Source organism: Homo sapiens, chromosome 1, assembly GCF_000001405.40.
Source record: "Homo sapiens chromosome 1, GRCh38.p14 Primary Assembly".
NCBI lineage: Eukaryota > Metazoa > Chordata > Mammalia > Primates > Hominidae > Homo > Homo sapiens.
This window is the reverse complement of record NC_000001.11, coordinates 184,674,790-184,698,087: the sequence shown is the minus strand read 5'-3', so window position 1 is coordinate 184,698,087 and position 23,298 is coordinate 184,674,790. Positions and strand designations below refer to the sequence as shown.

At 37.7% G+C, this 23,298-nt stretch overlaps 1 protein-coding gene across 5 annotated transcripts in view, besides 1 other annotated feature; it reads left to right on the top strand.

The window, feature by feature from the left end:
* The window catches only part of EDEM3 (ER degradation enhancing alpha-mannosidase like protein 3), a 64,622-nt gene extending 56,771 nt beyond the window's left edge, over positions 1 to 7,851 (top strand). For all 5 annotated transcript variants that reach the window (NR_135118.2, XM_011510012.2, NM_025191.4 and 2 more), the window contains one exon: positions 3,616 to 7,851. Coding sequence is in view for 4 of the 5 variants with exons in the window: in XM_011510012.2 (XP_011508314.1) it covers positions 3,616 to 4,025 (410 nt within the window). In the remaining variant the exon portion in view is untranslated. The remainder of the gene's footprint in view (positions 1 to 3,615) is intronic.
* Positions 12,956 to 13,005: an enhancer, noted in NCBI's record as "active region_2236". NCBI's record gives its function as "activates an Ori minimal core promoter by ATAC-STARR-seq in GM12878 lymphoblastoid cells {active_cell/tissue: GM12878}" and the evidence as "EXISTENCE:reporter gene assay evidence [ECO:0000049][PMID:35858748]".

Below are 23,298 nucleotides of genomic sequence, written 5' to 3'. Positions count from 1 at the left end.
GGATTGCCTAGTCATATGTTTTGCATTTTGCCTTCTTTAAATAAGATTCTGTGTCTTTTCTAGATATTTTATAGGACCTCTCTGTTTGTGTGTGTGCGCATTTCCTATATTTACATACATACTCATAAAGAAATAGAGGTTCTATAAATTATCTAGAAAAGACACACATATAGGGACAGAGGTTACACACACACACACACAATTTTCCCAACATGTCATCTTTTCACTTTGTTTATGTAACTTTCATAACATTTTTAGGTAATCAGAAATATTAATTCCTTTGAGGCTCCTGGGTCTTCTGTCTCACTTCAGAAGATCACTCCATCCTGTTTTTACATAATATTTTCCTAAATTCTTCTGGCATTTTTACCATTTTTTACATTTTGGTCTCTAAATCATATGGAATTTTAAAATAAAAGTTAGGAGTCTTTCCAATTGAGTTGTCAGTTACTAAATACCATTTATGAAGCAAACCACTCATTTCTCCTTCAGTTAAACTACCATCTTTGCTATATATCAAATATTCTTGCATAGTTGGATCTGCTTCTAGACTTACCCTTCTCTTCTACTAATGTGTTTATTCCTTTGCCAATAATAAAAGTTTGCTGTTTTGAGTATATTTTATTATCTGATAGGGCAACTCTCCCCTCACTGATTCTTAGAATTTCTTGGCTTCTCTTTGACATATGCTGTTCCATAGAAACTTTAAATTAATTGTATCTGGTTCTAAAACGAAAACAAGAAGTACAAATGAGATTCATTTTGAAATTATATAATTGCATACTTTACATATAAATTAGGAAAATGTTAAATATTAAGACTTCATTTAAGAATATACCTATAAATTTAATCAAATCTTGTTTTATGTTCTCATTATGATTTTATTTAAGCAACGTGGGTCTTATACCTTTTATAATAAATTTAATTCTATGTTTTGTAGCTTTTTATTATGAAAAGGTTTAATGATTATATTTTAACTATTTATTGTTACTACAAAGGAGTTATTGGTATTTGCATAGTCTTCTTACCAAATTTTTTTTATCAATTCTAATAGTATTTTTTTATTAAAGTTGCTTTGACAGTGTACGATCACAATCTGAAAATACAAATAATTTGATCTTTTTCTATATTTACATTGATTATTCTACTTTCTTGTCCGATTACATCAGCTAGATTTCCAAAATAATATCGTATATGTAACCCTAGGAGAGTTTTTTATCACAAGCACAATCTTCATTACCAGGTAAAACAACCCTACACCTTTTCCTCTCCTTCTAATCTGGAATAATACAATCTAGAAAGAAACTTGGAGATTTTTCTTTTTGTTCTCTCTTGAATTTAGGGAACCTAGGATAAATAAGCTGTAAGTAGCCAGCTACCTTCTTTCTTTGGTCTGCACCATTGGTTTCCCTAATTGCCTAATTAAATTGTACCTTTTTCACAGCTTAGAAGACAGAGATTGTGTGGAATTCCTCAATCCACCCCCTGCTGATCCTCCCCTCCGGAAAAAAAACCCTAAGAATGTAAACTTTCAGAGTCAAGTAATCCCATCTAATCAGGGTGAACATATATGCATTGTAGGGGCAGAAAGGGGTGATCCTTTCCTCCCCATCATAAAGGGTTACAGCGGACACCCCGGGTTAAAAAAAAACAAAAACAGGTTAACAACAGAAAAGCATAATAATTTTATTATGTGTACGTGTGTGCACAGGAGCCATACAAAATATGAAAGGGGACAGGTGGTTGAAGCTTAAATACCCTCTTCTTAGGGTAGAGGAATACTAGGGAATGAAGAGGTCCAGTGCTTAGACAATGATTGGTAAAGGATTCTCTTTGCATAGTATCTAGATAAAGTCCCCCAGTTAATCTCTCAGCTGTCCTCAGAAGAACAGAAGAAAAGTCTGTTTGGGTGTGGTGAGGACCCCTGTCTCTACTCTTCTCTGATGGCTCATTTTTTTTCTCGTTATTTGATGAGAGTCCTAGGGAGGGATTCTTGAGACAATTGCATTTCATTTGGAAAGAAGCTTCCTTAGATAAGAAAATTCCAGAGAGAATCCCCCCAGTTGCTTCAGGAAAGAGGATCAGAGAGACAGGGAGGCAGGGGAAGGTCAGAGACAGACTGGTTCTGAGGCTTATTTCTGAGACCTTTCAGTTTTCCAAGCATTCATCATGCTGAAGCACCATATTTTGGGGAATTGTTTTCTGTGCCCCAGCAATACCCACCACACCTTCCTGCATGTCTACATTTCCTTTGTTTTTTCTGGTTTTTAAATAAATCCTCTTCCCTCCCTTCTTTGACATTATCTTATACTTTAAACCCCAGCTCAAGTGTCACTTTCTGAAGGAACTTTTTGAAGAAACTTCTCAAATCTCCTTACAGTTCTCCCTCTGTATCTGTGGGTTCTGCACCCATGGATTCAACCAACTGTGGATAGGAAATATTCAAGAAGAAAAAAGCATCTGTATTGAACATACAGAGATTTTTTTTCTTGTCATTATTCTCCAAACAATACAGTATACCAATGATTTGCATAACATTTACGTTGTATTAGGTATTATAAAGTAATCAAGAGATGATTTAAAGTACATGGGAGGATGTGTGTCAGTTATATGCAAATACTGTGTCATTTTACATAAGGGACTTGAGCATCCAAAATCCTTATCTCTCTTTCATAACGTGTCACAGTTGAGTTTTCTATTTATTTTCCGTGATTATTTGTATAATATCTTTTTCTCCCGTTGGACTATAAGACCCATAAGGGCAGGTATAGCATTTGGTATTGCTCCTCATTTTATCCCTAGCACTATGCAAATGATGACTTGGAGGATATTTGCTGGCCAACTGCATCACAGAGGCAGAGACTGAACAGGATGTAGCATGTAGGCGTCGATGCTATTTAAGCACTTTCTTGTAGGAACCCTAAATAAAATGCCTCTACTGGTTTCACTGTATATTCATTATAAGAGGTTTAACTCACTCTTCAGCCTTCCAGTGGATTTTAAAATGACTATATCTTATAATTCATAGGCCTAAAATAATAGAATTTTATGAATAATCTCAGTTCTTGTCTTGTGAAAGTATTTCTGATCAGTCACATTAATACCCTTAGTCATTCAAAAAAATCTATGTTATCTGCTTCTTTATGACTTACTGAGTAGGAATTTCACTTTTCAAAGGAATATTATTTGAAAATATAGCAATGATATATGCTGTTTAAAATTGATTCTGTTTAATATGTTCTTATGCATAAGCTTTAGGTATCTAATACATTTTAGCCATACATTGCAAATCTCTATATATTTTAATATTATTATTGGTTAGCGTACTTCTTGGCTTACTAATGTCCACTGATGTCAGTCTTAGTTATTGTCATTCCTTCCAATTTGGAAGAACGTTTATTTTCTAACACTGACACATTTTGCACAGTGAATCTATAGGAAAATGTGACTGCATAAAGACAGTCTTCATTTCAGTGCTGATGCTCACCTTTCTGCATTAACATGAGTCTCTTTCACGTTTTATTTCATCTTGTTGCAAAAACCAATATGCTTTGGAAAGTGTAATAGTACATTTTTTTAGAGAAGTAGCATGAGGTTTGTTTCTTTCTCATACAGATCCTGAAATGGAAAATGAAGAACAACCATCCTCTGAAAATGATTCTCAGAATCAGAGTGGTGAACAGATTTCATCAAGTTCTCAGGAGGTTGATTTGGTTGATCAAGAGTCTTCTGAGGAAAATTCTCTAAATTCTCACCCAGAATCATTATCTCTAGCAGATATGGACAATGCTGCAAGCATTTCCCCTTCTGAACAGACTTCTAATCCCACAGAAAACCATGAGACTACAAATCTTAATGGTGAATGTACAGATTTAGATAACCAGCTTCAAGAACAATCAGAAACTGAGGAAGATTCCAATCCTAATGTTAGCTGGGGTAAAAAGGTCCAGCCTATAGACTCCATATTAGCAGACTGGAATGAAGATATAGAAGCATTTGAAATGATGGAGAAGGATGAGCTATGACTTGCTAAACAATCTGTTGGTAGGTATTTAAAAAGAAAAGGTAAACTGTGTGTGGTTAATAGACATCCTAATACTAAGCAGGCTTTCTAATGGGAGGCTTTAAGTATGGTGATGAACAACCACGTTCTGACTGGCGTAGTTATCGTAGGAATCTGGAGCATGCTGTGTTAGAATTGACCTTGTTTAAAACTGTCCCATCAAAAATGGAAATCCACAGTTCCCCCTTCAAATGCAGCACTGCACCACCCTGCAACACCTCAGGCCAGGGAAAGATTACTGAGCATTCCTGCGAACCAGATTTCTGTTGTCTCTGGATAGACAAGAAACAAAATTCATTTAGTAGTGGAGTGGGGAATAGGAGTTTGGATAGCCTTCTAATTAAAGGAAGCTCGCCTTTCTTGGTTTTGGGGGTTAGAGGCTCTTTTGGGAAGATGCATCCGAGTATTGTGGCATTCTGATTATGCTGCCTTCACAAAACACTCTAAGTGACCTAAGTGGTTATGAAGCAAATGCATTTATGGTGAAAACAGTCTTTGCTCATTGCTTTCTCTTGTTTCATTTAGTGACAAATGATCAAGATGACTTGATTTTTTTTCCTTCTTAACAATGTCTTTTTTATTTAAACCAAAGGTGAAGCCAGTGTACTTTCTCAGTGAGTTCTCTGCATAAAGACTAATCAGTGGGACCAGGTAAAAAGGTCATATAATACATTGTGGAGATTGCTTACTTAATACTTCTGAAAAATGGAGTAAGGGAGAAACTGTAATGTTGCAATATGAACCTCCCATTGGGCCTTCCATAGGGAAAGCTGTGACTACTCTGAAATGGAACCTAGCATTATATCCTTGTAGGGTAGATTATAAATCATTTCCAGTTCATTTCTCTTAGAGGTGATTACCTCTAGCCATCAGCCTTACTCCATCCCATGTTTGGTATGCAATTTGAGCCACAAGGCTCGTATCGCCAACAGCTATATACATTTTGTTCCATTTTTCTGTCTTACAGAGCCATGATAGAACTGTGGTTAGTGAGTTAAAATTCCTGGAGTAACTACTGTTTTTCTCCTTTGAAACTTAGGTTTCTAAAGTTGCACCTAAGGAATCTGTCACATTTTCTGTTGAATCATGGTTTTTGTTTTTGTTTTTAACAGATATTCCTTCTGATACGGACTTGAAAATTAGTGTATGGTGACCTGTGTTTAAAAAAAAAAGTACAATACAACTACATATAGCTATATAGCTTAATGAGACTTCCACCCCCCCCCTTTTTTTTTTTGGTTTGTTGTTGTTGTAGTAGTCTGGTGCTGGCCACATTTAAGTCTTAAAAATTTTTAAATTTTGTTGTTGATGTTTGTAGACAGCCCTGTTGTTGAAATCATGGCTTTATTCATTTTATTTATTTTTTAAACTTGCCTGAATTTGTTCTAAAGGAATATTTAAGAGACATAATTTTCTTCTCTTTACCATAACATTACACAAAACTTTTTCCTAAAACACGGTTGTGAGGTACTGATGAGGTGTAAGTGGAGCTGTTAAAAACAGCAGTGCTGTATTGCAGTTATGTATATTCGTGTACAGTATGTTTAGATCCCAGGTAAACATATTCTTTTCTGAGAGGATAAATACCTGCATTCAGATATTCCAGGTAAATATAATTGAGTCAGGGAGTAGTAAATCTGATGGAGAATTCACTTTGGGGAGGGGAAAAAGAATAGTATGCAAGACCCTTATTGGCTTTTAATTATACCTGAAACCAAAATGGATATTTTTAGTCTCTCTGCATGTGAGATTTGGTGTAACAAGATAGAACTATAATATATACAGTATATGGAAGGATAGATATAGTGCTTTGTTCATTTTAATTGCAAAGCTGCCAAAATAGTTGAAGCTTAATTACTTGACTTGCCTTGATTTATAGGACTGGGGCTTGGAGAAAATGAGCAGATGTTCCTCTAAGACATCGATTACAGAAGCCTTATATACATGGATTTGATTTTGTATTTGTAGCTGAAAGTCACTGTTGTCTAAAACTAACTTTTCTAAGTTATCAAAACAACCTAATTTCTTTTCCAACAAGGAGAACTTAATGGCATGAAGGATTGTGTGACACATTGGAAAAGCCAGCTTACTGCCACTCTCTTCCTTTGGCCATTAGAGGGAGGTGTTGCCTTTCATTGACGCTTAGAAGCAAATTGTTCACTTGTTAAGAAAAGTAAATCCTTAAAAAAAGAAAAGGAAAAAATTTAACCAATTTTTCTTAATACCCAGAAGGAATTATACTCAATATTTCCCTAGTTAAGAAAAGAGGAGATAATGTTCGTCTAAAAAACTCCAACGTTGTAATTACAACTCTACATTCATTTACTTACTTGACATACTGCCACAAAGTAGTTTTTGAGTTCATTAAAAATTCCAAAGGCATTAGTTGTTTTTTTTTTTTTTAGTGTTTTGTTTTTTAGTTAACTTTTATAGACATTTTAGTAACTTGCTAAAGATTCAGGGGATTCTATGAAACCCCGAATTTAGAAACATCTGGTCTACCTCAGTTAAATGTTGACTGCTTAGAAATATAGCTGAAGTGATCACCACAGCCATAAAATTGTTTAAGAAAGATTTATATAATGTTTACAAATCTGGAATCAAGGATTTTAGCTGAAATCCTTTAAGAGATATTAGAGCAAGTATTTAATTCAGGTATTTTCAAGTTTTAAAACTTAACCTGTTTACCTACTAAAAATAAAATAGCTAGTTTTTTTCTGCATATAAAAGTTCATTGAAATGATATGCCCTTATTTGCAATACTTTTCCCATAAAGTTTTAAGTGTGAAAGAATTGTAATTTACTAGATATGTTTGGTATGGGATATTTTGTTAGGCAAGTTTTCTTTTTTCTTCTTAAATTGCAATAGGCTTCCAAAAAGAGTATAATTGTTTCAGAACAAATTAACTCTTGGCATTATACGTCTCCCTTTTTCTTTACAGTATTAGTAAAAAGAAAAATTGTACACTTTCTGATTTTAACTTCACTAATGTAATTACTCTCTCAAGAAGCTTTTAAAATTTAAATTACCATCACACAACCTTTTTTATAGTAAAGCCAACATTTGTTCTCTCACCAAACCCCATGCCAAATTCATCATGAAGAAAGCTCAGCATAAGTAATTCAAATACTGCTTATAATTTTAGAGGGGGGTAGAATTTAGTAAATATTCCAGCCGGTCGTTTTATGCACAAGGCTTCAGTCAGAACATAGAAAAAAAAAACATTCTGTGAATGAAATATTGTATGTTCAGATTTTATAAAAGACATTTTTAAAAGCCCAATTTACAGCCGTATATTTTCTTATGATGTAATTTATGAAAAAGATGTCTGTACTAACAGGTGCTGTAACACTACTGTTGTTGGATTTTATTGTTTGGTGATAAATGTATACAATATTTCTAAGGGAAACTATGTACTGTGATGTAAAAGTCTGGGCAAAATGTATATAATCCTGTATATAATTATGTATTTGATTATAATTACTGATTGTAAAGATTTAATAAAATATGTAAATATTCCAGTTTAGTTTTAATTTGAATTTTTAGAATCACTGTGCATATCCTCATACTTTTATGTCTTGATGTTTATCACTCTGTTTTCCTTTTTTTTTTAAACTCATTTTATCCTCCGGGGATTGAATTCTGGGGACATTTTAGGCTGTAGAAACCCAAGCTTGTGGGCTAAAGTAAGGATTTTGTTCTAAGAAATCACTGAAAGTTTTTCAACAAGTCAGTAGCATGCACAAAGGTAATGCTAAGTGAATAAAACTCTAGAATTGTGTATAAATTATGATCCAGCGCTTGCTCACTCTCTCCATACACATATATACATACACATTATATATATATACACACACATATATATAATGACATTGACTCATTTATTCAACAAAGATTAAGGGCGTGCATGCCTTCTGTATGCCAGGCACTATTATAGGACCTGGGGTTGTAGTGGACAGATGGACAAAATGTGGTAAAGAAGATAGAAAATAAAGTAGTAAGTAAAAAGGACAATGAGTTTATGAAGAAAAAATTATGGTGAGGGGATAGAGAGTGGTGGAAATCATGGAGTGAGTTAAATAGCCAAAATACTAACAGTGGTTATCTTGGATTGTAGGCAATTGCTATTTCCTTATTTGTATATGTCAGTATTTTCATAAGTTTCCAAAATAAGCATTATGCTTTTAAAAATAAGTAGTTTAGGTCAGCGAAAGAAGAGAACATGAAAAATACACACGAGGTGGGGCATAGTGGTGCACACCTATAATCGCATCTCCTCCTCAAGAAGCTGAGGTTGGGAGGATCGCTTGTGCCCAGAACTTTGAGACCAGCCTGGGCAACAGAGGAGACCCTGTCTCAAAAACAAAACAAAATCACCCCAGAATCCTCCTATCTCATGTTTCTGCACGATTCAACCAATCCCATATGTACTGCACACCTACCATGGACATAAGCAGCATTTGGCTGGGACTCAAAACCTTGAGAGATGAGGTTTACCAAGAAAACTGTGTGGAATAGGGAAGAGAGAAGATCTAAAATAGAGCCCTGAGATTCCTAGAATCTGGGGACAGCAGAGGAGGAAGGACTTTTGTAGAAGGGAATGAAAAAGAGCAGTTGGAGAAGTGGGAGGAAAACAAGGCTGAAGCAGTGTATAAAAACCAAGAAAGCATTTCAAGGAGGGAGTGGCAAATAGCCTGAAACCCCTAAAAAGTAGTTTCTTGGTTTTAGCAACCTTTTCTGAAGTCCCCTACCCCACTAAATAGCCGCAGGAGACAGTGGGTACTTGATGCAGGCATACTGTTGCTATGGAAGAATGTGTGGCTCCATCTTTTTAATATTTGAGAAAAACCAGAAATTCAGGTGAAATCTTATTTTAAAACATTGTTCAAGTTAAACAAAATATATGTGACAGCAGTGGTCTCCAGTTTGCAACCTCCGAGCTGTCAGATCCTTACCTCCACATGTGTATGTACAAGGAAGACCCCATTCGTTTTTAGAGGATCATTCACCAATTTCCACTTCCAAATTTATCATATGCACCATAGACCTCTTTCAACTGTTGAGATTTTCATATGTCTTAATGGCCCTGGTGGTGATTAAGTGGCTTTTTAAATGTAGATTATTCATTTAATCAAGTAGGTCAATGGAAAGTGGACATCCATTCATTCACCTTCCTACAATTACTCTTTTTAAAAAAATTTTTGAGACAGGGTCTCACTATGTTGCCCAGGCTGGAGTGCAGTGGCTGTTCACAGGTGAGAACATAGTGCACTGCAGCATTGAACTCCTGGCCTTAAGCAGTCCTTCCACATCAGCCTCCCAAGTAACTGGGATTACAGGCACCTGCCACCATGCCTGGCTTCACCTTTTTACATTTTCTAATGTCAACCTTTGAGACCATCTTTAACCTGAGGCAATGAAAGTTTGTCTCTTGAATCCAGTTCAGGTCTTTCTTCCATCAACTGGTCTGGCCAGACTGCTGACTCAACTTCACCCCACCTTCCTTCTGTGGTTCCTGGTGGCTCGCTGTCTCCAGGAGCCCCATCCAAGCCACATACTCCCCTAGGGTGTATCTGTAAGCTTCTGCTCAGCTCAACAGTGGTTCCTTCAAGTTCCAGCAACACCTCAAAGAGGACTGGTCCAGGCCAGCTCTCTAATAAGCTATATGAACACTGGTATCATCCTTGCAGTCCTAATAATAAAAAGAACCAACACTTTTTCTTTTTCGAGACAGAGTTTTACTGTGTCATCCAGGCTGGAGTGCAGTGGTGCAGTCTTGGGACACTGCAACTTTTGTCTCCTGGGTTCAAGCAGTTCTCCTGCCTCAGCCATCCTAGTAGTTGGGATTATAGGCGTGCGCCACCATACCCTGCTAATTTTTGTATTTTTAATAGAGATAGGATTTCACTATGTTGACCAGGCTGGTCTCGAACTCCTGACCTCAAGTGATCCGACCGCCTCAGCCTCCCAAAGTGCTGGGATTACAGGTGTGAGCTATCGCACCTAGTCAGAACCACCACTTTTTGAACCCTCACTAGGCATTAACATATACTGAGTGCTCTATATATGTGATTCCTTATCCATATGGCAACCTTGCAAAATATCTATAATTTCATTTAAGTGGCTTGCCCAAAGCCACAGAGCAAGTTAGATGGGCCTGGGATTTGAACCTAGATTAGCCTGATTTCTGCGATACAGACTGACTCTCCTAACTATGCACAATTATCTATTTGAACCAAGTGGGTGTTATATGGCTGCTATGAAGGCTGACTCAGATACCCTTGCAAACAACATTCACCTGCCAACCAGCCAGCTACCAAAGGGATCTGGGAGTTGAAGGTACTTAAAGGACCTGCAGTGGTTGTAGTGGACAAATGGACAAAATGTAGTAAAGAAGATAGAAAATAAAGTAAATGAAAAGGACAATGAGTTTATGAAGAAAAAATTATGGTGAGGGGCTAGAGAGTGACTCCCCAAAGGGGTGAGAATAGGAGAAAGGACTGCTTACAGCTTCAGGCCTTATGGTCTCTTGAGTCAGAGGATACTTATCAGACTTCAAAATGGTAGATACAAGAGACAAGTCTTCTTGTTTCCAAGGCAACTACCAATTTCTCTGATCCTTGGCTCCAACATTTCATCATCTCCTGTCACAATGGCCCCACCTAGGAAACATCTAAAAACCACGCCAGAAACCCATGTATGTGTTTTACCAGCTTATCACTGGCCTGGGAGCCGCTTGAGAAAAAGGAAAAGTTTGGCCTCATCACTATTGTCTCACCTCTGCCAGTGTCTAGCTCTTGAAAGGCACTCACTAAGCTCTTGTGGGGTGAGTTGAATGAAACACCTGGTTTGGAATGAGTGGATGTTTTCTGTCACTTCCCCAAATCACATTTATCCTGAAAGGGCTAGGATTTGCAATCACTGAGAAATGTCAAAGAAACGATGTGCCAATTTTGAAGACAGTTGTATGAAGGTAGCCCTAAAAATCTTTTTTTATTGGAAGTAAACATTGAAGAGACCGCAATTCATGTGAGGGTCTCAGAATTTTAGAGCCAAAAGATTTTTTAAATTGTCACGCCATTGATTCTCCTCATTGGACAGAGAAGACGACAGATGCCAGAGGTGGGAAGTGACTTGACCAAGGTCACACATCTCCAGAACTGAATGTGCTCTTAGGCAGCGTGAAGGTTCTGGCACAGCTGTTTCACAGTCGTCCTCAGGCCTTACAGCCTGAGTTCCTCCACTCTGTTCAAGTTAACATTCAGCCAGAGGGATAATTACTAACTTCAGAACTTCAGAGCTGCCCTTGACATGCCTTGGCAAAACTCCAGGGCTCCACTGAATACAGTGTAAAAACTACTGACTTAGATAATGTATTGTTCCTCATTTAAACTTTTAGCACATTCAAGCAAAAATGTCTTTTAATTCCCTGAAAACTGGCTATTCTGATTAGCACCATTTATTCTCTTCCTTTCCTGATGAGTAAACTCATTAATGAAAGAATACATACTGTACTTTCTTTTGTGTGTTCATCTGAATTAACACAAGTGTGGGCAGAGCTCAAAATGCTGAGACCAAGATACAGATCCTTTGCCGGGTGGGCCCTCTTGTGGGTCTCAAAGCCAAGGGTTCCCAAGCTTTGTGGTGATGGCAAAAATGGTCCTCTTTAGACCAAAATCACTGAATGTGACATTCTAAATTTGAAATTCTGAGTAAGAGCTACAGGAAAGAATGGTAACCTGTTTATCTCGTATTGGTAAGGCAATAATGGAAAATTCTAGGCTAACCAAGTGAGAGGCGTCTCATTTTAAGCCAGTACTTTCTAAACCTCTGTGAGTCTGAGCATGGTGGCTCACACCTGCAATCCCAGCACTTTGGGAGGCCAAGGCGGGTGGATCACCTGAGGCCAGGAGTTCAAGACCAGCTTGGCCAACGTGGTGAAACCCCGTCTCTATAAAAATACAAAAATTAACCGGGCATGGTGGTGGGCACCTGTAATTCCCAGCTACTCAGGAGGCTGAGGCAGGAGAATTGCTTGAACCCAGGAGGCAGAGGTTGCAGTGAGCCGAGATGGCACCACTGCACTCCAGCCTAGGCGACAGGGGTTGTGGGGGGGACAAAAACAAAATCAATCCTCTGCGAAACTCTCTACTATCTTTGTAATAATAATGCTCATTTATTGGCTGTTTACATTTATCAGGTACTTAGAACTTATAGTTTTGTAAGACCTGTGTGAGACAGATACCTTCGTTATTCCCATTTTATTGATAAGAAAACAGGCTTAGCAATGGAGTTTTAACTGAAATCAAAGAAATACATTGGCTAAATTAAACAGGCAAGTGTGTGAGGGTAAATGCAGGAAAAAGAGAAGGCTCCTGGAGGGTTCTAGTGGTGGTACCAAGGATCTGGGGGAGGGCAGTTGACATTTTCTCAACCTTTATTATGCATAACAGAAGTCACATGTATCCTATAAGTATGAAAATATCGTGTATCAACACAAGAAAAAGAGGACAGACCCTGGCGCCAGACTGCTGAGCTTAAAATCCCAGTTCCAGCCCTTACTCTGTATGACCTTGAAATTGGTCTCTCAGTTTCCTCATCTGTGAAGCGGGGATAAAAATAGAACCTGTTTCAAAGGATGGCTGTATTCAAAGCAGGTGGCTCACCGCCAAACTCACTGTGAGAATGCAGCACAATTGCTACCATCGGCTATTGTATAAAGTGCCACATGCAAATATGTTTTCAGTCCGCTCCTCCTACTGTCCCTCCGGATTGCTGTCCTTGAGTTTCACGTGTAAGTTCTGTGTGAATCAGTTCTGGGTGACTGCCTAAGGCAGTTTGGGCTGGGTGATGTATCCTTTGACTTCTGATAGGTCTGGGTAGAGATGCAGGAAGAGTATCTACCTGCTGAAACTGACCTAATTGTCTCAATCTCTCAAAAGATGGCAGAAAAATAGCCCTTGAAGCAATGATGAGCTTTCAGAAGCCAGGCGTTTAGGGGGAGAAAAGATCAAGGAGTGGCCTGAATTGCTTACACAGCTTTTCTGTGACTGGAGTAAGAAATTGACTCTCAGCATGAGACAAAGTGCACATAAGGGAGGGCACATCCTCAGGACATCAGCCTGTTCTCGTGGTCACCGTCCTGAGAATCCCCAGGAGTGGGCCAGCCAAGTGGGGATGCCAGCCAGCTCTCCAGCACAGGGCCTCCAGCTGCCTCCCAATAGCGCTGGCAGAGATGGACAAGGCGACAGCCTGGGCAGCCGGCCAGAGGAGAACCGCCACCATGGAAAGTGTGTGCTTCAGAGTGTGTGGCACACCCAGAACCCGAGGGACGAGGCTGCAAAGTGCCAGTGTCTTTGTACAATCTCCAAAAACCAGAAAAAGCTCAAAATTGTCAGAGGCTTATGGGAACAGAGGTAAAGAGGACTTTGAATAGAAACAAGACAATTATTCCAATAAAGTGCTGGCTTCACAAGAAAAACAAAACTGCTTTCCAGGGAATTCTAACCTCACCATCAAAAACGAACATTGCACAACTCATCCCTCTGGAACAAGTCGGGAGAGCATCTCCCTGGTGTAGGCTTGGACCACACAAAGCCTTGTAGATTCAGAGTAAAGCATCATTTTTCCTTGGTTTTTGAGGCCTGCATCTTGTTGTTGCTTCTTTATTTTCTCCCAAATTTTCTCTCTCATGTATAAGAACCAGAATTCCTGAGGCTCTAGATACCAGAACTTGATTAAAAAGTATTTGATCTTGTAAATGCAGAGTTAGTTACTTGCTGTGTGACTTTAGCAAGTTACCTAACTGCTCTGAGACTCGGTTTTCTCCTCTACAGAATGCTAGTTTTGTCTGCCCAATATGCTTTCCTCTATGTCTTCTGTTACTGAGCCCCACCCCAACGACCACATGAACACCACTGTAGAAATAAAAGCTATCGTATACAGTTACTTCGACAGCATCCCTTGCAGTCCTGGGACAGGCTCATTGCTTAATTCTGCCAGTCATATGCACATACCCTGGACTTTGATTTGGAGCTTCGAATTCGTGGCAGGATCCCACACAATCTGTTCATAAGAGAGTGGTGGTAGCCATTACATTCGGTCTCCAGAGACACAGAAACAACACCTGGGCCCTGGGAGGCTGGGGAAGAGGTGATGCTGAGAGGTCCATGGCCTGTGTGTGTGTGTGTGTGTGTTAGAGAGACAGAGACAGAGACACTTGATTCCTACACCCCGTGTTTCCACAGAGAAGGCCCTCCTTAAGGTAAACCCCTGGCTTGCCTTTCCGTCCATCGGTTACCTGATTGGTGAGTTGGGAGCCAGCCTACCTGTCTGTGGAAAACACCCTTCCTGGTACTTTTGACTTTGTAGTGAAAGCAGTCTCGGCCCTGGAGGGGAAGGAGTGTGTGGATGAGGGGAAGCCCGGGTTTTCTTGCTCTGCCAGTGCGGAGGTGGGGGTGAGGGTGTAAATCTGCCTAATGTCCGAATGAGGTGTTAGCACTCCTGTATTAGTCCGTAAGTCCATCTGCTGTTTTAAACCTTCATTTTATGTCAGAAGGAAACTTTATATGACCATCATTAATAGAAAAATGGTCTTTGTAACTTCAAGCACAGAATAATTTTTAAACACACAATTATTTTTTAAAGAACTTATTTTTCCATGTACCACTTAAAAGGATCTTCAGACCAGTGTATATGAATTTTACTTTGGGAAATACTGTGGTACGCTGTAAGGCCCCTGGTTGTTTTTGTTTTTTAACAGAGATAGCCTATTATTTGTCCTGAGGTAAGAAATGATCGACTACATTAAAATGAACCTTAAAGAGTATTTATACAGTAACATCAAATTAGTAGGTTCTCATGGCGATTATGCAACTTTCACTTTCTCTTGATTACTATACTTTCTAGTAAGTGTTGAAATCAGGTAGTGTGAGTCCTCCAATTTTGTTATTTTCAGGATTGTTATTTCAAGATTTGTTACTTTCCATCTTGATGCCCCTTTTCAGCCTATTATAGTTCCTTTGCATTTCCACATAAATTTTACAATAGACTTGTCAATTACTTCAAAAAAGCATAGCCAGGCATGGTGGCTTGAGCCTTTAGTTCCAGCTACCAGGGAGACTGAGGGGGGAGGATGGTTTGAAGTTGCAGTGTGCTTTTGATCACAACTCCAACCTCAGTGACAGAGCAAAACCCCATCTCTTAAAGAAAAAGAAAATGCCTGATTATATTTTGATTAGAATTGTATTTAATCTAGAACAGACACTTTTTAAAACGTAGCGGCCTCAACTGGGCATGGTGGCTCATACCTGTAATCCCAGCACTTTGAGAGGCCAAGGTGAGTGGATCACTTGAACTCAAGAGTTCGAGACTAGCCTGGGCAATGTGGCAAAACTTTGTCTCTACAAAAAGTACAACAATTAACCAGGTATGGTTGTGTGCCTCTGTAGTCCCAGCTACTCAGGAGGTCGAGGTGAGAGAATCACTTGAGCCTGGGGAGGTCGAGGGTTGGACCTAGGGATGGAAATGCTTGTCATAGTGTAAAATATAGGATTATTTGTATGTCTTCTTTTGGGAAATGCTTATTCAGGTCCTTTGCCCATTCTTTAATAAAATTGTTTGTTTTCTTGCTGTTGAGCTATTTCAGTGAGCTATATCCTGCAGTGAGCCATGATTGTGCCACTGCACTGCAGCCTGAGTGAAAGAGAAAGACCCTGTCTCAACAAACAAACAAATAAAAAAATGAGTCATCCATTCTATGAACATGGTATATCTGTTCATTTAATTAGGACTTTAATGTCTCTCAACAATATTTTGAAGCTTCTAATGTAGAGTTTTTGCATATTTTTTGTCGTATTTGTGATCACATGGAATTGTCTTTAAATTGTATTTTCAAATTATTTGTTAATAATATACAGAGCTATAATTAATTTTTTATATTGACCTATGTCATACAACATGGTAAAATTCACTTATTAGTTCTAGTAACTTTTTTGTAAATTCTTTGGGATTTTCTATGTAAAAAATTGTGCTGTCTGTCAAGAAAAGACTGTTTTACTTTTTCACTTCCAGTCTTTATTGATGACTTTATTTCTCTTTTTGGCTTCTTAAAAGAGATGGCTAGGACATCTAGTACAATGTTGAATAGAGGAGGTGAGAGTGAACATTCTTGCCTTATTCATGAAACTAGGGAGAAAGTATTCAATATTTCATTATTATATATGATGTTAATTGTACACTTTTCAGAGATGGACTTTTTCAGGTTAAGTAACTTCTATTTCTAATTTGCTGAGAATTTGATCATAAATGGCTATTGAATTTTGTCAAATACTTTGAATCATCTATTGCATAAATTGTGTAGTTTTTCTCCTTTTTACTGTCTACCATGGTGAACTACATTCACTAATTTTCAAATATTAAACCAACCTTGTATTCCTGTGTTGAGGGAAGTCAGGGATGCTGAACGGAGGGACCGGCTGGAGGTGAGGCAGAGGAACAAAATTGTGAAGATTTCATCTTAATATGGACATTTATCAGTTCCCAAATAATACTTTTATAATTTCTTACGCCTGTCTTTAATCTCTTAATCCTGTTATTTTCGTAAGCTGAGGACGTACGTCATCTCAGGACCACTGTGATAATTGTGTTAACTGTACAAATTGATTGCAAAACATGTGTGTTTGAACAATATGAAATCAGTGCAACTTGAAAAAGAACAGAATAATAGCGATTTTTAGGGAACAAGGGAAGACAACCATAAGGTCTGACTGCCTGCAGGGTCGGGAAAAAGAGCCATATTTTTCTTTTTGCAGGGAGCCTATAAATGGACATGCAAGTAGGAGAGATATCGTTAAATTCTTTTCCTAGTAAGGAATATTAATATTAATACCCTGGGAAAGGAATGCATTCCTGGGGTGAGGTCTATAAACAGCCACTCTGGGAATGTCTGTCTTGTGCAGTTGAGATAAGGACTGAGATAATCCCTGGTCTCCTGCAGAACCCTCAGGCTTACTGGGGTGGGGGAAAACTCTGCCCTGGTAAATTTGTGGTCAGACTGGTTCTCTGCTCTCAAACCCTGTTTTCTGTTGTTTAAGATGTTTATCAAGACAATAAGTACGTGCACTGCTGAACATAGACCCTTATCAGTAGTTCTGCTTTTGCCCTTTGTACTGTTCCCTCAGAAGCATGTGATCTTTGTTAGACCCTTATTAGTAGTTCTGCTTTTTGCCCTCAGAAACATGTGATCTTTGTACCTACTTCCTGTCCTTACACCCCCTCCCCTCTTGAAACCCTTAATAAAAGCTTGTTGGTCTGAGACTCAGGTGGGCATCACGGTCCTACCGATACATGATGTCACTCCTGGCGGCCCAGCTGTAAAATTCCTCTCTTTGTACTGTCTGTCTTTATTCTCAGCCGGCCAACACTTATGGAAAATAGAAAGAACCTACGTTGAAATATTGAAATATTGGGGGTGGGTTCCCCCAATATTCCTGGGATAAACCTTACTCGGTAATGATGTATTTTGGTTTTTAATATATTGCTGAATTTTAGTCACTAATATTTTTGGTCAGAATTTTTTCTGTTAATATTCATGTGGGATATGTTGGATTTTCTTTTCTTGTAATATCTTTATCAGTCTTTGGTATTAGGGCTAGGCTGGCCTCAAAGCAAGCTGGGAAATGTCTCCTCCTCTATTTTTGGAAAGAATGTAAGATTGGTGTTATTTCTTCCTTAAATGTTTGATAGAATTGACTAGTGAAGCCATTTGGACCTTGAATTATTTTTGTGGGAAAGTTTGATAACAAATTCAATTTTTAAAATAGGTAAATGGTTATTCAGATTTCTCATTTCTTTTGTCAGTTTTGGCAAGTTGTGTTTTTCAAGGAATTTGTGCATTTCATTTAAAGTGTTGAATTTATTTATATAAAGTTGTTTATAATAATCCTTTATTATATTTTTATTGTCATGTAATCTCTAATGATACTCTTCTTTTATTTCCAAAATTGATAGGTTGTGTTTCCTCTCTTTTTCTCATCAGTTTAGCTAGGAATTTAACAATTTTTTCTTTTTTATTTTATTTTATTTTATTATTATTATACTTTAAGTTTTAGGGTACATGTGCACAATATGCAGGTTAGTTACATATGTATACATGTGCCATGCTGGTGTGCTGCACCCATTCACTCGTCATTTAGCACCCCACAACAGTCCCCAGAGGGTGATGTTCCCCTTCCTGTGTCCATGTATTCTCATTGTTCAATTCCCACCTACAAGTGAGAACATGCAGTGTTCGGTTTTTTGTCCTCACGATAGTTTACTGAGAATGATGATTTCCAATTTCATCCATGTCCCTACAAAGGACATGAACTCATCATTTTTTATGGCTGCATAGTATTCCATGGTGAACAATTTTTTCAATAAACAAATTTTGGCCTTTGTTAATATTTCTTCCTACAGTTTGTTTACTATTTCATTGATTTCTGTTCTTATCTCTATTATTTCCCCCTCTACACCTTTAATTTACTTATATTTTTTTCTTGTTTTTTAAGGTAAGAGCTTTGATTATTGACTTTAAATATTTCTCTCCCAGTTTCCGCCTGCTTTTAGTTGATCTCTGTTGCCTTTCAAATAATTGGGTAAAATATTTTGTGGACAGTTTACAGTCATTATCTGCAGATAGTCAATATAAGTTATTCCTCTATTATTGGAACTGGAATTCAGAAGATTTGCCTTTTCTTCTAAGCTTTAAGCTTTAGGCTGGTGTGGTGGCTTATGCCTGCAATCCCAGCACTTTGGGAGGCCGAGGCGATGGATCACCTGAGGTCAGGAGTTCAAGACCAGCCTGGCCAACGTGGTGAAATCTTCTCTCTACTAAAAATACAAAAATTAGCCAGGACTGGTGGCAGGCACCTGTAAGCCCAGCTACTTGGGAGGCTGAGGCAGGTGAATCACTTGAACCCTGGAGGTGGAGGTTGCAGTGAGCCAAGATCAAACCACTGCACTTCAGCCTGGGCGACAGAGTGAGACTCCATCTCAAAAAAAAAAAAAGATAAAAAATAAAAATAAAAAATAAAATACAATAAGTTTTAAGCTTTATAAGCTTGGCTAAGTATTCTAATTTGTGTCAACCTCCTCATCTGTAAAGTAGGGGTTATGTAATAACAAATATCTTAGATGATTTTTTGTCATGGAGAGTAAATGAAATAATGCATATGGAAACACTGTTAAAGGAATAACATGATATATAAATTTTATTTGTTGTCATTAATGCAACAAAAAGAATAGCTCCCATGGCACACACTTGTATTTCCATTAAAAGTTAAGACACAATACTGAGTCATTTAATTTTCATAGCCTGGCAGATGAGGAAGATAGTCCTTTATCATCTTCTAAAATATTTTAAGTAACCTTGTAATTATATGCATTCATATTCAATGGATATCGATTAAATGTCTATTACACATATATTAAGCACTTTTATGTGCAATATATTGAAAAAAACTTTTTCTATTTATTTCTCACATAAAAATGGTGCCCTTCAATTTATCAATATGTAGCAATAACTTAAAATTTTTTCACACCTTTATTCCACTCTTAAAAATGTATCCTAAGTAAATCATCAAAGATGGCACCCATATTTATTGTGCAAACTGCTTATTGCAGGCTTATTCATAATGACAAAAAATTGAAACAACCAGAATAAATGTATACAAACAATTAGTCAAATAAATTATCGTGCATATGTAAAATGTAATACAACTCAGCTATTAGAAACATATTTTCAAAGATTATTTTATCACGTGGAAAAATGTATGCAATGTTAAGTTTAAATAATGACTACTGTTTAAATGTCATGATTATACTTTTGTTCAAAAATATGAATTAGAAAAAATACCAAAATGTTAACACTGATTTTCTCTGGGCAGACACAATTAGAGATGAGTTTTTCTTCACATACTTTGCCAGGGTGCTACATTGTTCACAATTAATGCATAGGTTTTGCTTTTTGTTTTTCCTTTGGACTCCAGACACACTCAGAATTGAATTAATCATAATTGGTAGTTTAATAAGGAGTCTACTCGTTGGTCCATGCATAGCCATTATTTATTAATTTGTTTATTATAATACATACTCATAAACCTGTTGGTTAATACGAAAGCTAAGACTCACACAAAAGTGGTGGAATATATTTGGATTATATTTACATCTAGCTATGAATTCTCCTTCAGCCCATTCACCACTTTTTTCTACCCAAGGTAAACATCATCCCAAATCTTATCATTCCCTTGTTTTCCTTTTAACAAAGTTGTATCTGTTTGATATATAGTCCTAAAACACTTATTTTTTAATGTTGGTGTTTTTAACTTTAGGGAAGGCAGCATGCTATATATTAACTTCTGGAATGCACTTCTTTTCACTTGATATTGTATTGCTAAGATTCATCCCTATTGATGTATGCAACTGTAGTTCATTTATTTTGATGACTATGTAATATTCCACTTTGTGAATATATTATTGTTTATTCTGTATTTAGGCTATTTCTGGCTTTTGCTGTTACAAACAGCACTGCTGTAAACTTCCTTATACATGGGTCCCAGAGTCCCTTTGTAACAATTCCTTTTGTATATAAACCTGGGGATGGAAATGCTTGTCATAGTGTAAAAGATAGGATTATTTTTATGTCTTCTTTTGAGAAATGCTTATTCAGGTCCTTTGCCTATTCTTTAACCAGATTGTTTTCTCGCTATTGAGCTATTTCAGTTCCTTATATATTTTGGATATTAACTTCTTATCAGATGTATGGTTTGCAGATATTTTCTTTTTAAGAAACTGACATATAATAATTATATGTATTCATGGGGTACATAGTGATGTTTTCATATATATTTTGTGATCAGATCAGAGTAATTAGCATATCCATCATCTCAAACATTTATCATTTCTTTGTGTTGGGAACATCCAATATCCTCCTAGCTATTTGAAACCATATAATATATTATTATTATTATTAACTGTAGTCATCCTATAGTGGCAGAGAACACTGGAAGTTATTCCTCCTAGCTGTAATTTTGTATCCTTTAATAAATCTCTCCCTATCCCCTTCTTCCTCCTATCCTTCCCAGCCTCTAGTATCCTCTGTTCTACATTTTATTTCTATGAGATCAACTTTTTTGAGCTTCCACATGTGAAGACAACATGCGGTGTTTAACTTTCTGTTCTTTGCTTATTTCATTTAACATAATGTCCTCCAGTTCCACCCGTGTTGTTGTGAATGACAGGATTTTATTCCTTTTATGGCTGAATTATGTTCCGTTATGTATATATACCACATTTTCTTTACCCATTCATCTGTTGTTGGACACTTAGATTGATTCCATATCTTGGCTATTGTGAATAGTGCTGCAATAAACATGGAGGTAAAGATGTTTCTTCAATATCCTGATTTCCTTTCCTTTGGATACATGCCCAGTCGTGGGACTGCTGGATCATATGGTGATTCTATTTGTAGTTTTTGAGGAACTCCATACTGTTTTCCACAGGAGTTATACTAGTTTACATTCCCACCAACAGTGTATAAGAGTTCCCATTTCCCCACATCCTCCCCAGCATTTGTTATTTTTTATCTTTTTGGTATTAGCCATCCTAACTGGAGTGAGATATCTCATTGTGTTTTTAATTTGCATTTCCCTGATGATTGGTGTTGTTGAGCTTTTTTTTTTTTTTTCCATTTATTTGTTGGCCATTTGTATGTCTTCTTTTGAGAAATGTCTGTTTAGATCATTTGCCCCTTTTAAAATTGGATTATTTGGGGCTGGGCACGGTGGCTCAAGCCTGTAATTCCAGCACTTTGGGAAGTGGAGGCAGGTGGATCACGAGGTCAGGAGATCGAGACCATCCTGGCTAACACGGTGAAACCCCGTCTCTACTAAAAATACAAAAAATTAGCCAGGTGGTGGCGGGCGCCTGTAGTCCCAGCTACTCGGGAGGCTGGGGCAGGAGAATGGCGTGAACCCGGGAGGCGGAGCTTGCAGTGAACCGAGATCGCGCCACTGCACTCCAGCCTGGGCGACAGAGCGAGACTCCGTCTCAAAAAAAAAAAAAAAAAAAAAATTGGATTATTTGGCCGGGTGCGCGGTAGCTCACGCCTGTAATCCCAGCACTTTGGGAGGACGAGGCAGGTGGATCACTTGAGGTCAAGAGTCTGTGACTGGTCTGGCCAACATGGTAAAACCCCGTCTCTACTAAAAATACAAAAATCAGCCAGGCGTGGTCGTGTGCACCTGTAATCCCAGCTACTTAGGAGGCTGAGGTAGGAGAATCGTTTGATCCCAGGAGGTGGAGGTTGGGGTAAGCTGAGATTATGCCACTGCACTCCAGCCTGGGTGACAGAGAGAGACTCCATCTCAAAAAAAAAAAAAAAATTGGATTATTTAACTTGTTTGCAGTTGCTTGTATATTTGGATATTAAGCCCTTGTCAGATGAATAGCTTACAAATATTTTCTCCCATTCTTTAGATTGTCTTTTCCCCTTGCTGATTGTTTCCTTTGCTGTGCAGAGCCTTTTCGTTGATATAATCCTACTTGTTTGTTTTTGCTTTTATTGCCTGTACTTTTGAGGTTTTATTCATAAAGTCTTTTCCAGATCAATGTGCTGAAGCATTTCCCCTATATTTCCTTCTATTAATTTTATAGTTTGGGGTCTTACATTTAGTCTTTGATCCATTTTGAGTTGATTTTTTTATAGGATGAGAGGTGGTTTCAGTCTTCTCTTTATGGATATCCAGTTTTCCCAGCACCTTTTATTGAAGAAATTATCCTTTCACCAGTGAATGCTCTTAGCACTTTTGTCAAAAATCGGTTGGCTGTAGATATGTGAATTAATTTCTGGGTTCTCTTTTCTGTTCCATTGGTCTTTGTGTCTGTTTTTATGCCAGTACCATATTTCTTGGGTTACCACACCTTTGTAGTATATTTTGAAGTCTGATAGTACAATGCTTCTAGGTTTGTTCTTTTTGCTCAGGATTGCTTTGACTATTTGGGGTCTTAAAAAAATTTTAAGTTTTTTTTTTTTTTGGTCTATTTCTGTGAAGAATGTTATTTATTTATTTATTTATTTTTTTTTTTTTGACAGAGTCTCACTCTGTCACCCAGGCTGGAGTGCAGTGGCACAATCTCGGCTCCCTGCAGCCTCCGCCTCCTCGGTTCAAATGATTCTTGTGCATCAGTCTCCTGC